Source organism: Homo sapiens, chromosome X, assembly GCF_000001405.40.
Source record: "Homo sapiens chromosome X, GRCh38.p14 Primary Assembly".
Taxonomy (NCBI): domain Eukaryota; kingdom Metazoa; phylum Chordata; class Mammalia; order Primates; family Hominidae; genus Homo; species Homo sapiens.
In genome coordinates this window covers 25,874,557-25,890,834 of record NC_000023.11, presented here as the reverse complement: position 1 = coordinate 25,890,834, position 16,278 = coordinate 25,874,557, and the positions used below count along the sequence as shown (strand labels likewise).

At 37.0% G+C, this 16,278-nt stretch overlaps 1 long non-coding RNA gene across 2 annotated transcripts in view, besides 2 other annotated features; it reads right to left on the bottom strand.

Annotated features, from left to right (window-relative positions):
* Window positions 7,706-8,905: an enhancer, noted in NCBI's record as "CDK7 strongly-dependent group 2 enhancer chrX:25900047-25901246 (GRCh37/hg19 assembly coordinates)". NCBI's record gives its function as "activates an origin of replication core promoter dependent on BRD2, BRD4, P300/CBP, MED14 and CDK7 cofactors, with strong dependence on CDK7, by STARR-seq in HCT116 cells {active_cell/tissue: HCT116}" and the evidence as "EXISTENCE:reporter gene assay evidence [ECO:0000049][PMID:35650434]".
* Window positions 8,230-8,730: an enhancer, noted in NCBI's record as "H3K4me1 hESC enhancer chrX:25900222-25900722 (GRCh37/hg19 assembly coordinates)". NCBI's record gives its function as "activates a minimal SCP1, AML or CMV promoter by ChIP-STARR-seq in primed H9 embryonic stem cells {active_cell/tissue: H9 hESC(primed)}" and the evidence as "EXISTENCE:reporter gene assay evidence [ECO:0000049][PMID:30033119]".
* LOC107985707 (uncharacterized) overlaps window positions 8,530-16,278 on the bottom strand; it is a 63,493-nt gene continuing 55,744 nt past the window's right edge. The window contains exons 1-4 of one of the 2 annotated variants that reach the window (XR_001755820.1): window positions 14,871-15,031; window positions 12,709-12,805; window positions 9,966-10,070; window positions 8,530-8,761 (exon numbers count right to left, since the gene is read on the bottom strand). This is a non-coding gene — a long non-coding RNA (uncharacterized LOC107985707). Of the gene's footprint in view, window positions 8,762-9,965; window positions 10,071-12,708; window positions 12,806-14,870; window positions 15,032-16,278 lie in introns of those variants that run through there. The other variant, XR_001755821.2, reaches the window with a different exon arrangement.

Below are 16,278 nucleotides of genomic sequence, written 5' to 3'. Positions count from 1 at the left end.
TTACCATACTATACTTTTTTGGTTATTTTTGTGTGTAGTCCTACTGATTTTTTTAAGTTTAACTGTAAAACAGTCTCAGGGAGCCCCTTCAGGAGGTATTCCAGAAGAAAGCATTGTTATCGTAGGACATGGCAGCTCCATGTGAGTTATTGCCTCTGAAGACCTTCCAGTGGGACAATATGTGGAGGTAGAAGACAGTGACGTTGACATTGATCCTGACGCTGTTTAGGCCTAGGCTAATGTGTGTGTTTGTGCATTTGTTTTTAACAAAAACATTTAAAAAGTAAATAAATAGAACAAAGCTTATAGAAAAAATATTTTTGTACAGCTGAACAATGTGTGTGTTTTAAGCTAAGTTTTATTAAAAAAGAATCAAAAAGCTAAAAAAATTGAAAAGTTTAAAAAGTAGAAAGCTTAAAGTAAGCAAAAGTTAAATTTGTTTTAGAGAAAGAAAAATATTTTTATAAATTTAGGGTAGCCTAAGTGTACAGTATTTATAAAGTCTATAGTAGTGTATAGTAATGTCCTGGCCTTCATATTCACTCACCACTCACTCACCCAGAGCAACTTCTAGTCCTTCAGGCTCCATCCACAGTAAGTACCCTATATAGGGTACCATTTTTAATCTTTTATATCATATTTTCGCAGTATCTTTTCTGTTTATTTATGTTTAGAGAAACAAATACTTGTCATTGTGTTACAACTGCGTACAGTATTCAGTAGTCACATGCTATAAAAATTGGTAGCCTAGGACCCATAGGCTACACCATATAGTCTAGGTGTGTAGTAGGCTATACTATCTAGGTTTATATAAGTACACTCTATGATGTTCGCACAACTAAATCGCCTTACTGATGCATTTCTCACAATGTATTTCCATCATTAAGTAACTCATGACTATACAAGATTACACGATGAGCTTCCTTAATCTGAAAATCTGACACCTGAAAAGCTCCAAAATCCATAACTTTATGAGCAGTGACATGACACCACCATGGAAAATTCCACACATAAGTACTTAATATAAACTTCGTTTTATGCACAAAATTATTTAAAATATTGTATAAAGATACCTTCAGGCTATGTGTATAAGATGTATATGAAACATAAATGAATTTCATGTTTAGCCTTGAGTCCCAAGATATCTCATTATGTATGTGCAAATATTCCAAAATCTGAAAAAAATCTAAAATCTGAAACACTACTTTCTGGTCCTAAGCATTTCAGAAAGGGATACTCAACCTCAGTACTACTATTCTGAGTGTTAAGTGGGAGAAATAGGTGTCCTGGGAGCCTAGAACCAGACAGACCTAACAAAGTTTGCAATGTCAGGCAGTCTTCCTAGCAGAAGTGATGTTTAAGCTTAGCCTTATAAGATGCGAAGGGGATAGGTTGAGAAAGTTGAAAGTGTTATATTTAGAAAGAAGGCCTTGATCTGTTAAACTTAAGGTGCATTGGAGCAGTTAATTAATTTATTTATTCAAGTAACAAATGTTTGAGTGTCTTCTATGTTCCAGGCACCATTTAGAGGTAAGAAAGAGTAGGGACAGAAAGAGGTAAAGCCAAGGATGGAGAGTTTGGGGAAGCCACAGTGTAGGTCTTGGATAAGGATTTCAACTTTTACAGGCAAAAAGAATCCACTGAAATAACTTGGACAGTAAAGGAACAGATTTGCATTTTTTCCATTATAAAAGCTATACATGATTATGGTTTAAAAATTAAAGGTTAAAGTAAAAAAATAAGATATTCCCTTTTTCTGGTTATTTATCCCACAGACATAAAACTATTGATATTTCTATTGTTTCCTTACAAATAGACACACACACACACGTGTATTAGTTTCCTTTACACAAATGTAACAATACATTTTTATGTAACTTGCTCTTTTAGATTTATTTTGAACATTTTTATATTAGTACTTACATATCTACCTCATTTATTTAAAAATTTTCTTGCAGTATTTTATTTAATTTTCCATCTGTTTCAGACATCTAGGTTGCTCCCAGTTACTTGCTGTACTATTTCCCGAGGGCTGCCATAACAAAGTACTACAAATCAAGTGGCTTAAAACATTAGAAATGTATTGTCTCACAGTTCTGGAGGATGGAAGTCCAAATTCAAGGTGTCTGCAGGGCAATACTCCCTCTGGAACCTGTAGGGGAATCTTTCCTTTCCTCTTTCTAGCTTATGTTTATTTGCCAGCAATCTTTGGCATTCCTTGGTGTGCAGCTGCATAATTCCAATATTTGTCTTTGTTATCACATGACATTCTCCCTATGTATTTCTGCCCAAACTTCCCTTTCCCTGTAAGAATAGCAGTCATATTGAATTAAGAACCTAGTGTACTCCAGTATGACCTCATCTTAACCAACTACATCTGCAATGACCCCATGACCAAATAAAGTCACATTCTGATTACTGGGGGTTAGGACTTCACATCCTTTGGTGGGACACAACACATAACTCTAATAGAGAATGCTGCTAAAACCATTCTTGTACACATTTTTTCCAATTTATGCAGTCAGTGCATTTATGAAAACACTAGTAAGAATCAAAATGTAGCCAGGAACTCAGCACTGTCCCTATCCATACCTCCTCCTAATCGCTAACCTTTCCGACTCCTATCACAATTAATTTTATCTTTCTGAAGTTAATATAAATGGAATCACATAGTATATTCAATTTTGTTTTTGATATATTTGGTCCTTTGAGGTTCATCCATGCGATTAGTTTCTGCACTGTTTTATTTGTACTGATACATGGAATCAGTTCTCAAAGTGTAGTCTGGGCACCCTTGGGAATTCCCGAGACCCTTTCAGAGAGTCAGTAACATCAAAAAACTATCAATCATCATCAATATATGTTATTTGACTTTTCATTTTCTTGTGAGTATATAGAAGTTTCCAAACGCTATATAACATGTGATATCAAAACAGAATGAATGCAAAAGCAGATACACTTCTTTCACTAAACCAGACATTGAATAGATTTGTAAACTTGTAAAGCAATGCCACTCTCTCCAATAATTTTATTTTGTTTTGGAAAATAGCCATTTTTCATAAAATGTTATTTATTTTAACATGGAATGAGTGGGCTAGAGGATAATTCTTTGAATCTCTTCTGTTTCTGTACTTTCTTTTTTTTATTTTATTATTATTATACTTTAAGTTTTAGGGTACATGTGCACAATGTGCAGGTTAGTTACATATGTATACATGTGCCATGCTGGTGTGCTGCACGCATTAACTCGTCATTTAGCATTAGGTATATCTCCTAATGCTATCCCTCCCCGCTCCCCCCACCCCACGACAGTCCCCAGAGTGTGATGTTCCCCTTCCTGTGTCCATGTGTTCTCATTGTTCAATTCCCACCTATGAGTGAGAACATGTGATGTTTGGTTTTTTGTCCTTGGCGATAGTTTACTGAGAATGATGATTTCCAGTTTCATCCATGTCCCTACAAAGGACATGAACTCATCATTTTTTATGGCTGCATAGTATTCCATGGTGTATATGTGCCACATTTTCTTAATCCAGTCTATCATCGTTGGACATTTGGGTTGGTTCCAAGTCTTTGCTAGAATGGAAGCACTCACTGCCTTTGTTCCGGAGTGCTTTTTCAAGGATGTTTATATAAGGGATAGCTTTGGAAAAGAGAGGTAGTGTCTCCCTCCTGAACAAAGAGAAGGTATGCTTATTGCTCATTATAAAATAATCAGGCTCCTAAGCTCAGGGTTTCTCTTCTGTAACATTACTCATTGCATGTGCTGCTGTCACTTGGCCCTAATCATGTTGTCCTGGGGAACTTGGGCTTGGAAAACTGACACAAGATAATGCTGATACTCTGGGTACTGCTATTGCTGTAAGTTATAATGTCCTTTGTCTTTGACCTGATATTCTTGTGTCTTCTACTAGCATACATGAAACTCTGGCAGGCTAACTTGTTAGCTTGCAAGCACAGGAAATTCTCAGACACTTCACAATTCTTGACAGAACATTTAAAACATCTCAGTTTCAGTTGCTAATACTGTAAATATCGATAGACAAAACTCGTATAAACAAAAGCATTTTAAGGTCTTCAATTTTTTGTTAGAGTGTAAAACTGTCCTTAGATAAAAAGTCTAAGAACCATTGCTATTATAGGTTTTCATTGTATGATGTGTCCTATATTTATTTATCCATTTACTAACAGACATTGGGTTGTTTCTCATTTTGGCAATCACAAATAAAACTGCCACAAACATTCTAACATATGTTTTTTGATTCAGTTTTATTTTGGGAAGATATGTGTGCTTTATACTATTATAAATGGTATCATTTTAACATTTTATTTTCCAATTTTGCTAGGATATAGAAATGCAATGGATATTTTTGTATTAAACTTGCCAATACCATTATTTATTTGATTAGTCTTCCTGTTATTTTTAATTTTCTGAATAGACAATGATATATGAGAATTACAGTTTTATTTCTTCCTTAAAAACACACGTACTTTCGTTCATTTTTTTGACATTTTTGCACTCTTGGAACTTTCAATTCAATGATGAATAGAAGTGATTATAGAGTACATCCCTTTATTCTTTATCATAGAGGGAAGCCTTTCAACATTTTGCGATTAAATTCAATGATGTTTCACATAGTTTTATTTTTTGTAGAAAATCTTGACAAATTTAAGAAAGCTGTCTCCAATTTCTAGTTCGCTAAGAGGTTATTTTTTCTTTTTGGTAAGTAATGTTTGGACATTGTATTTTATCAATTGCTTTCCCCATATCAGTTGAAATGATCATGTGATTTTTTTTATCCTTTATTTGATGGTGTGCAAAATGGCACTGATCTATTCTTAAATATGAATCCAACCTTTAATTCTCGTAAAGCTACTTGACCATAATACATTTTATTTTATGTATATTTTGATGTGTTATGCTAATTTACACTCCCACCAACAGTGTAAAAGCATTCCTATTTCTCCACATCCTCTCCAGCATCTGTTCTTTCCTGACTTTTCAATGATCACCATTCTAACTGGCATGAGATGGTATCTCATTAATTACTGCCTCAATTTCAGAATTTATTATTGGTCTACTCAGGGATTTGACTTCTTGCTGGTTTCGTCTTGGGAGAGTGTACATGTCCAGGAATTTATCCATTTCTTCTAGATTTTCTAGTTTATTTGTGTAGAGGTGTTTATAGTATTCTCTGATGGTAGTTTGTATTTCTGTGGGATTGGTGGTGATATCCCCTTTTACATTTTTTATTGCGTCTATTTGATTCTTCTCTCTTTTCTTCTTTATTAGTCTTGCTGGTGGTCCATCTATTTTGTTGACCTTTTCAAAAAACCAGCTCCTGGATTCATTGATTTTTTTGAAGGTTTTTTCCTGTCTCTATCTCCTTCAGTTCTGCTCTAATCTTAGTTATTTTTTGTCTTCTGCTAGCTTTTGAATGTGTTTGCTCTTGCTTCTCTAGTTCTTTTAGTTGTGATGATAGGGGGTCGATTTTAGATCTGTCCTGCTTTTTCTTGTGGGCATTTAGTGCTATAAATTTCCCTCTACATATGCTTTAAATGTGTCCCAGAGATTCTGTTATGTTGTGTCTTTGTTCTCATTGGTTTCAAACAACATCTTTATTTCTGCCTTCATTTCGTTATGTACCCAGTAGTCATTCTGGAGCAGGTTGTTCAGTTTCCATGTAGTTGTGTGGTTTTGAGTGAGTTTCTTAATCCTGAGTTGTAATTTGATTACACTGTGGTCTGAGAGACTGCTTGTTATGATTTCCATCTTTTGCATTTGCTGAGGAGTGTTTTACTTCCAACTATTTGGTAAATTTTAGAATAAGTGCGATGTAGTGCTGAGAAGAATATATATTCTGTTGATTTCGGGTGGAGAGTTCTGTAGATGTCTATTAGGTCCACTTGGTCCAGAGCTGAATTCAAGTTATGGACTTCCTTGTTAATTTTCTGTCTCGTTGATCTGTCTAATGTTGACAGTGAGGTGTTAAAGTCTCCCACTGTTATTGTGTGGGAGTCTAAATCTCTTTGTAGGTCTCTAAGAACTTACTTTATGAATCTGGGCACTTCTGTATATAAGGATAGTTAGTTCTTCTTGTTGCATTGATCCCTTTACCATTATGTAATGGCCTTCTTTGTCTCTTTTGATCTTTGTTTGTTTAAAGTCTGTTTTATCAGAGACTAGGATTGCAACCCCTGCTTTTTTTGCTTTCCATTTGCTTGGTAAATATTCCTCCATCTCTTTATTTTGAGCTTATGTGTGTCTTTGCACGTAAGATGGGTCTCCTGAATACAGCACACTGATGGGTCTTTTAACTGGGGCATTTAGCCCATTTACATTTAAGGTTAACATTGTTATGTGTGAATTTGATCCTGTCATTATGATGCTAGCTGGTTATTTTGCCCATTAGTTGATGCAGTTCCTTCATAGCATCGATGGTCTTTACAATTTGGTGTGTTTTTGCAGTGGCTGGTACCAGTTGTTCCTTTCCACGTTTAGTGCTTCCTTCAGGAGCTCTTGTGAGGCAGGCCTGGTGGTGACAAAATCTCTCAGCATTTGCTTGACTGTAAAGGATTTTATTTCTTCTTCACTTAAGAAGCTTAGTTTGGCTGGATACGAAACTCTGGGTTGAGAATTCTTTTAAGAATGTTGAATATTGGTCCCTACTCTCTTCTGGCTAATAGGGTTTCTACCGAGAGATGTGCTGTTAGTCTGATGGGCCCCCCTTTGTGGGTAACCCGACCTTTCTCTCTGGCTGCCCTTAACATTTTTTCCTTAATTTCAACCTTGGTGAATCTGATGATTATGTGTCTTGGGGTTGCTCTTCTCAAGGAATGTCTTAGTGGTGTTCTCAGTATTTCCTGAATTTGAATGTTGATCTGCCTTGTTAGGTTGGGGATGTTCTCCTGGATAATATCCTGAAGAGTGTTTTCCAACTTGGTTCCATTCTCCCCATCACTTTCAGGTACACCAATCAAATGTAGATTTGGATTTTTCACATAGTCCCGTATTTCTTGGAGGCTTTGTTTCTTTTCACTTTTTTCTCTAATATTGTCTTCTTGCTTTATTTCATTGAGTTGATCTTCAATCTCTGATATCCTTTCTTCCACTTGATTGATTTGGCTATTGATACTTGTGTATGCTTCACGAAGTTCTCTTGCTGTGCTTTTCAGCTCCATCATGTCATTTATGTTCTTCTCTCAACTGGTTATTCTAGTTAGCAATTCGTCTAACCTTTTTCCAAGGTTCTTAGCTTCCTTGCATTGGGTTAGAACATGCTCCTTTAGCTTTGAGGAGTTTGTTATTACCCACCTTCTGAAGTCTACTTCTGTGAATTCGTCAAACTCCTTCTCCATCCAGTTTTGTTCCCTTGCTGCCAAGGAGTTCTGATCCTTTGGAGAAGAGACGTTCTGGTTTTTGGAGTTTTCAGCCTTTTTGCGGCGGTTTTTCCCCATCTTTGTGGATTTATCTACCTTTGGTCTTTGATGCTGGTGACCTTTGGATGGGGTCTCTGAGTGGACGTCCTTTTTGTTGATGTTGCTACTATCCCTTTCTGTTTGTTAGTTTTCCTTCTAACAGCCAGGCCCCTCTTCTGCAGAGCTGCTGGGGTTTGCTGGAGGTCTACTCCAGACCCTGTTTGCCTGGGTATCACCAGCAGAGGCTGCAGAACAGCAAAGATTGCTGCCTGTTCCTTCCTCTGGAGGCTTCATCCCAGAGGGGCACCCACCAGATGTCAGCAAGAGCTCTCCTGTATGAGGTATCTGTCAGCCCCTACTGGGAGATGTCTCCCAGTCAGGATACATGGGGGTCAGGGACCCAGTTGAGGAGGCAGCCTGTCCCTTATCAGAGCTCAAATACTGTGCTGGGAGATCCACTGCTCTCTTAAGAGCTGCCAGGCAGAGACGTTTAAGTCTGCTGAAGCTGCGCCCACAGCCACCCCTTCCCCCAGGTGCTCTGTCCCAGGGAGATGAGGGTTTTATCTATAAGCCCCTGACTGGGGCTGCTGCCTTCTTTTCAGAGATGCCCCTGCAGCAGCCTTGCTGAGCTGCAGTGGGCTCCATCCACTTTGAACTTCCAGGATGCCTTGTTTACACTGTGAGGGGAAAACTGCCTACTCAAGCCTCAGCAATGGCGACGACCCTTCCCCCGCCAGCAAGCTGGAGAGTCCCAGGTGGATCTCAGACTGCTGTGCTAGCAGCAAGAATTTCAAGCCAGTGGATCTTAGCTTGCTGGGCTCTGTGAGGGTGGGACCCATTGAGCCAGGCACGGGAGGGAGTCTCCTGGTCTGCTGGTTTCGAAGACCATGGGAAAAGTGCAGTATCTGGGCCAGAGTGCAGTTTCTCCCGGTACAGTGTCTCACGGCTTCCCTTGGCTAGGAACGGGAAATCCCCCGACCCCTTGTGCTTCTGGGGTGAGACAATGCCCCACCCTGCTTTGGCTCACCCTCCCTGGGCTACACCCACTGTCCAACCAGTCCCAATGAGGTGAACTGAGTACCCCAGTTGGAAATGCAGAAATCACCCACCTTTTGCGTCGATCTCGCCGGGAGCTGCCCTGGCATATATATTTTGTTTATTGTCCCAATCATTCTTGCCAGTGCATTGGCCATGTTTTAGTCTTTTCAAAGGACCATCTTTTCACTTGTTTATCTCCATCACTTTCCATTCTATTAATTTCTTTTATCTTTATCATTTCCTTTTTATTTGTGTAGAATATGCTGTTCAAATGTCTTGACACAGTTGTTTGTTAGGATGCAGTCTGGAAAATAGAAATCACACAAATACTTAAAACAGATTACTTTTAACAAATAGCATTGTTTAATTCCTATTCTCAGCCTCAGATAACCACTAATGCTTTTTATCATTATAATTTAGATTTGTCATGGCTTGAATTTTATGTAAATAACATCATATAATATCTACTCTTTTATACCTGGCTTTTTCACTCAGTAAAATGTTCTCCAGATTCAGCTAAGATATGGCATGTTATCAGTAGTTCTTTCTTATTACTAAGTAGTATTCCATCATATAGGTATACCATAATTTGTTTATTCATTTATTTGTTGACAGACATTTGAGTTGTTTGCAGTTTTTGGCTATTAGGATCATCTTGATTTGTTTTCTGTTGCTAATAACAGAATAACTGAAACTGGGTACTTTATAAAGACAATATATTTATTTCTTACAGTTCTGGAGGCTGAGAAGTCCAAAGTCAAGGGGCCACATCTGATGAGGGTCTTCTTGCTGGTGGGGACTCTGTGCAGAGTCCCAAGTTGTCACAGGGCATCACATGGCAAGGGGACTGACCATGCTAATGTGCTAGCTCAACTCTCTGTTCCTTTTCTTGTAAAGCCACCGGTCCCACTCCAGTGATAACCCATTAATCCATGCATGAGATTAAGTCATTTATGAGGGCAGAGTCCTCTTGACCCAATCACCTCTTAAAGCCACCCCCCACCTTGATAATGCCACATTAGGGATTAAGTTTCAACATGAATTATGAAGGAGACAAAAATTCATACCATAGCAGAGATAAAGATTATATGAACAGTACTATATAAGTTTTTGTGTGTATATATATATAATTTTTCTCAGTTAAATAACTTGGTGTGGAAATTCTCAGTTATATGGAAATCATATTGAGATATTAAATGCAATTCTTAAGAAGGTTTAGTTAGTGGTAACCCCTCTTATATTCTCTTAATAGCTTAACAGTATACTTTTCAGTATTAGGCACTTTTTTCACTGTAACTTCATTGATATATTTGTGGGTTGTTAGGTGATGCTACACTTAAATTCTAGGCCTGAATTCATGGTAGTAAACATTTGTTAAGTGCTAACATAGTGTTAGCAGTATTGTAATTACTTTATGTCGTTTAATTTTTATAATAACCCAAAAGAGTCTGTATTCTCAATTTTTAGATGAGTTATAAACTGAGGCAAAATCACATTAATTAACTTACCCAAAGACACAAACCTAGTAAGTAAGTTGCAGAGCTAGGAATTGAGCCAAGTTGTCTTCTCAAGTCCATGTCTCTGTTACCTTAAAAAGTCCATGTCTCTGTTACCTTAAATATAGAATTAAAGGGTAAGTATGTACCTAAAAGTTGAAACAAGAAAGAAAAAAGATGCATGTGGATTTAGCAGCAACTGCAATGTTTATTTAAATGAAGTAGATTCTGGATGTCTCTTTTTGTTCAATATATGTAAATTACAGATTAATTAAAGTATAGAAATTAGGCTAGAAAAAAGAAGTTGAGGTATATTTTAAAACTCTCATTAATTTTGTCTATCTTGTGAGACTCTGATAGCCTAACTCAGTTTGAGAACTATTTATTTCAGAAGTCAGAACTCAAACTTCTATTTATCTATAACATATACACACTGTATTAGTCTGTTTTCATGCTGCCAATAAAGACATACCCGAGACTGGGCAATTTACAAAAGAAAGAGGTTTAATTGGACTTACAGATCCACGTGGCTGGGGAAGCCTCACAATCATGGCAGAAGGCAAGGAGGAGCAAGTCATGTCTTACATGGATAGCAGCAGGCAAAGAGAGGAGCACTTGTGCAGGGGAACTCCCCTTTTTATAACCATCAAATCTTGTGAGTCTTATTCACTATTTCGAGAACAGCATGGGAAAGACCTGCCCCCATGATTCAATTACCTTTCACCGGGTCCCTACCACAATATGTGGGAATTCAAGATGAGGTCTGGGTGGGGACACAGCCAAACCATATCACACACCAAATATTGTTTATGTATTATTTTGGTATTAGAATAGTTTTTGTAAACACTAATAGTACACAATTGATTAAATAATTAAAATGATACATGCCAGTCTTGGTCTGTTTTTGGTGCAATGGCAAAATACCATAGACTAGGTAATTTATAAGTAATACAAATTTATTTGTTATAGTTTTGGAGGCCTGGGAAGTCCAAGATAATGGTGGCAGCGTATTTGACATCTGACAAGGGCTATTCTATAGATGGCCCTTTGTTGAGGCATTCTCACATGGTGGAAAAGACATAAGGAATAAACACTGTCTTCACACATGACAGAAGAAATAGAAGGGCCAAGAAGCTGGAGCCTCCATGGTAAGGACACTAATCCCATTCATGAAGGCAGAGCCCTCATAACTACTTCCCCAAATGGTCCACCTCTTAATACCACCACAATGGTAATTAAGTTTCAATATAAAATTCAGAAGAGCACAAACACTCAAACCATAGCAATGTCATAGTTTTGGGTTTTCTTCTACTTTTTGCAGCCGTTGTTTGTTTGAGTTTCTGTACAATTTCTTCTATCAGTTGTATAAAACAAATGCCTATATAGCTGTCATATCTTCACTTTATTTCTCAGCTGTTGACAACAAGGAATGAATGAAAAATCTACAGTGTTACCGTATTAATCATGATGATAGGAAAAGTTCAATTACATGTCTCTTTCAAAGAAGAAAAGCAACAGTTGTTTAGTACCAATTTTTTGACTACTTGAATCTCTTGTTTTTTAAGAAATTATTTTAAAACTTGCTAGCAAGAGAGGCTTTAAAATAACAGTTTATGTTCTCAAATATAGAAACTACATTACAATCTATGTAAACAATGTGTGTTTGTTGGGTGCAATGCTTTTCAGTTAATCACAACTCCTATTGATATAGAATATTGCCATTGAGATCTCTAAAGAGAACAGTAAATAATAATTTCCTGCAAAAAAATAGTATCTTTATCAGATAAGTGAAAACAGTTTAATTTATTAGAGACCTATAAGACAAACATTTGAGAGAAGAAAAGTCACACTTTCCACATGCCGCCTGAAAAGGGTTGCTTATAGGAAGCAAAGGGGCCATGTGCATTGTAAGATAGAAAGACAGGAATTTGAACTACTTAAATAAACAATCATAAAATATCTGCTCACATAATTAGTACTTGTAATACAGATTACAAATATTTTTCTGTTTGCCCAAGAAGAGAATTCCCTTGTATGAGCCATCTCTGATTTTATAAACCATAGAAGAAAAATCATGAAAACAATAGCCAATTTTGTTTAAAAAAATACAACATCCAAGGTTTTAGAACTGATATTTAGTTATTATAAACTGCACAAATTCTCAAAACTATTAACTGCCTTAAAAATAAACTCTCATATCCATTATAAAAAGGCACATTCACCACTCACAGAAATGCTGATTTCAGATTGCAAGAAACCCATGCAAAATATATATGGAATGCCATTTAGAGTGTCATAAAAGTGAAATGTGGCTAATGAGCCCTTCCCAGTGGTTTGCATCATGCTCATTTCTAACTCTGCTTTTATGGCAGCTACTGTTCAGAAAAAAGCCCATCCATTCCATGTAAATCCGGCTGTTCCTTGCTCTAGTACCAGTGTTAGGAAACTCAATTTAAATCAAGCCTAATCACTTCTGCCAGCTGCAGTGCACTTCCCAGTACTCCTCACCCACCTGTACATTCTAGCATGACTTTGTTTCTTGCATCTCTCAGCCTTACTCCAATTCAACCATGCTCTAATTGGCTGGCTGGGGATTCCACTGTCACTCAAGCTAAACCCCAGGCTCATTGAGAGAATTGGAAGCTGAGTTTGCAGTTTGAGTTTGGCTCCCAGGGTACATATTTCCTGGCCTTTTTATTTTTTCAAGCTCCTATAAGTAGCCAGAGAGAAAGTAAAACAATGCATGAAACTGTACCTTAAAATACAGCAGCTTTTTTTTTTCTGACAGGTTTAATTGTTTAGTTCCATGCTGGTGGTCAAGAAGGGAACTGAAGGCTTGTCTTCACATTTTGCTGTGAAAAAAATGAATCATGACATCATTCCGTGGCCCTTTTCAACAACCACTGGTTTATCACTTTTTAAAATGATCTCTTGTGACCTAAACATTATTTGGTTTCTGAGAGGAAAGTTAGCATTACTTTTCTGTGAGTACCAACTCAGACAATTTAAGATTTAGTTTTCTGCTTCTAAATTGGAGCTGTTAGCCTCAAATCATTTAAATGTTTTAAATTCACAAAATGTGAAATATTTCTGGATTGTTACTAATGTCCATGATACTAGATAATATAAAAGACAAATTGTATCTCAGTTATGCTGTGCAAACGTCAGGGGAGATGTTATTACCTCTGTGTCACTGAGTTTTAATTTCACTGACAATGAACAAAGGACCAGCTGGTGGAATCTCTGACTGTGTGATAAGTGTAGGGGGGTGACAAGAAACCTGACACAAAGTCCTTGCCTTCAAGTAGTTTCCGTCTTTTGAAGGAGATATTTAAATATAAAATGCCCAGTTACATATAAATTAAGTACCAAATTTGTAACACAGGCCAAAATAAATAAAGTACTCTGAGAAGGTGAGAGACGACTAAGGTAGGTATTTGTCTCAGTTATCACTCTTGACTAGACATTTTCTCCCCTGCTTCTCTGGTCAAAGGCAGAGCAGCAGCAGAAGTAAACCCAATAATTGGTTAACCTCAGCCCTCAAATAATTCTAAGTGGCTTTGTGTCATTCAGCAGGAACACATAGTATGGCCATTGCACAATCCATTTCCAGGAGTGAACTGCAAATCTGACTTATATCAAAACTACAAATTTGCCAAATTGACTTCAGCAACGAAAAACAATCTTTTTACCCTAGATTTAAGTTCATGTGAACAAGTACCAGACTAGAGTTGACTCCTAGGGAACCGAAGTGAGCTTTTTTTTTTCTTTCTTTTCAGAAGATGTTGGTATGTGTATACATATGTTTGTTTGTTTTTTGATCAAATATCTTTAACACAATCTTTTTTAAATGCCTTGTTTTCATTTCCTAGCATAAAATGTCCGTATGCTCACTTTTTATTTCCAATCTTGGTCAATTAAATATTTTAGTATATACTTTCCAGTTGTTGCTTATTTTCCCCCTTTTCACAATTATCTTATTTAACTTTATCATATGCTTGACCCATTTTGTTTCTGCTAGACAAAATGTAAGCAAATCTCCTCAATAAAAGAAACGTTTGTTGTTGCTCCATTAAAAACAACATTAAATGGAACATGAACCTTACTTATAATGTTCTCACTTCTGAGGCGCTGTCATGTCATTGAGTTGGCTTTTATTAACTCTGGGAATTCAAATGGCTTATCCCTTTAAAATGGAACAGCCAATCAATCAGTAGATACAGAGTACCTACCCTGCTCCTAGGCTCACACAAATCACAAATCTAAGTCATTGGACTAGGCACTGAGAAGGACAGAATGAGTCTCATCGTCTCATTTCCTGTTATATAAAATCGTTCTGTATAATTTCAGATTTTTTTCTCTCTAGAAAAAGGTCCCTTAAGTATCTTTGTCTGAAACAAGCTATTTTATTAAATACTCTAAGCAATTTTCCTAAATCTTCATTCTTTGTTGATGAGGACGAGGATAATGTTAATTTGGGAGGTTATCTAGTCCAAAATAATCTTTCCAAGTATATTGCAAGCTAGAGATTTATATGAGATTTTTTTTTTCAGTGATTTCAGCTTTACCAGAAAGCTGGTCTCTTCTCTTGTAGCTAACTTGCGGAAAGATAATAACCAAAACCCTGTGGCATAGAAGGAAAAAATACCAGTTTTTAAAATATGTAAATTTAACTATTAATCATTAGCAGGTCCCTTAAATTCCCCGAACCTCAATTTTCTCATCTCTAAAATGAAAACATTGGACAACATATTTTTTAAGATCTGCCATAGATAGATATTGAGATAAAGATCAAGATAGATACGGAAAGAGCTGCAATTGCATGAAAGCAAACTTCTTAGGAAATTTAATGATTAAGCCCATAGATAGCCCAGAACCACTATTTACTTAATTTTCCCAAACTCTTCCTTTTCCTACCATCCAGATGAATCTCCATCAGACTGGACCACCCAGTGTTCTCACTTTTTCTACTTTACTTCACCATTGTTCTTCCGGTCTTCTCAGATCCCTTCCATCCTCACAAGTCCAGCTTCCTTTTCCTGTCAATCTCATCACACACATTAAGGTAAGGGGCTTCAGATTCTGAGTGTAGCAGGCAGGGATGAATGAAATGGTATAATGAAAACAAATCATAAATTGTTTTCCTGGTAAAATGATAATTTAATGATATAACATCAATATATTGTTACACTAACAGCATATCTGTTCTCCCCATCTTACCTTATTACTATTGCCCTATCTTTGTTTTGATCAGGACCTAAGGGAGCTACATCAATATATGCTAATATCACACTTTGGAAAAGAAATTAGGAGGTAAATAGCATGCCTTCAACATATGATCCTGAGGCACTCTCCACATTATTTGTCTTTTCATAAGCAGGTATGTCCTGGTAAAAGTTGTTGCTTTCCTACTGTTTTCAGTGACTAGCAGTCTCCACTGTAATAGGATATTCAAGCTCTTATTTCCCTAGGGATCAAGCTCATTATGAAATTGTACCTTCTGATTTCCATCTCTAATCAAAAGGATGCCTGTTCTATGTATTGATTATTCAAGTCCTTGTAGATAAGCTGATAAATAATTTTAAATAATATGCTAATGATTGCTCATTAATGTGTCCACACTAGTATTTCATTTTTTAATTTTATTTATTTATTTTTGGAGACAGGGTCTTACTCTGTCAGCCAGGGTGGAGTGCAGTGACACAATCATAGCTCACTGCAACCTGGAATTCCTGTGCTCAAGCAATCCTCCTAAGTAGCTGGGACTACAGGTATAGGCACCACTACACCCAGCTAATTTCTGTATTTTTTGTAGAGACAGGATCTCACTGTTTCCCAGGCTGGTCTTGAACTCCTAACCTAGTGATCCACCCATCTTGGCCTCCCAAAGTGCTGGGATTACAGGCATGAGCCACCGCACCCGGCCCAGTATTTCTGTTTTTAAAAGTCTTCAGTGACTATACTAAAAGAATCCAAGTATATAACCATGTGAAAATCGTAAGTTCAACTGTAGGACTAGAGGGGAGGAAATATTTTGGGCTTGGGAAATTTTTAGAATTCCTCTATTTATACCAATGAGGAGAATGCTTATGAATAAAATTATCAATAAGTATTTGAAAATAAAATGAATGAGTTTGTCTACTAAGGATCTACATACAGAAGACTGAATGATTATATACATAGAATTGACTGAAGTTATTTTTGAGACAGAGTCTTGCTCTGTCTCCCAGGCTGGAGTGCAGTGGCGCAATCTCGGCTCACTGCAACCTCCACCTCCTGGGTTCAAGCAATTCTCCCTGCCTCAGCCTCCCACGTAGCTGGGACT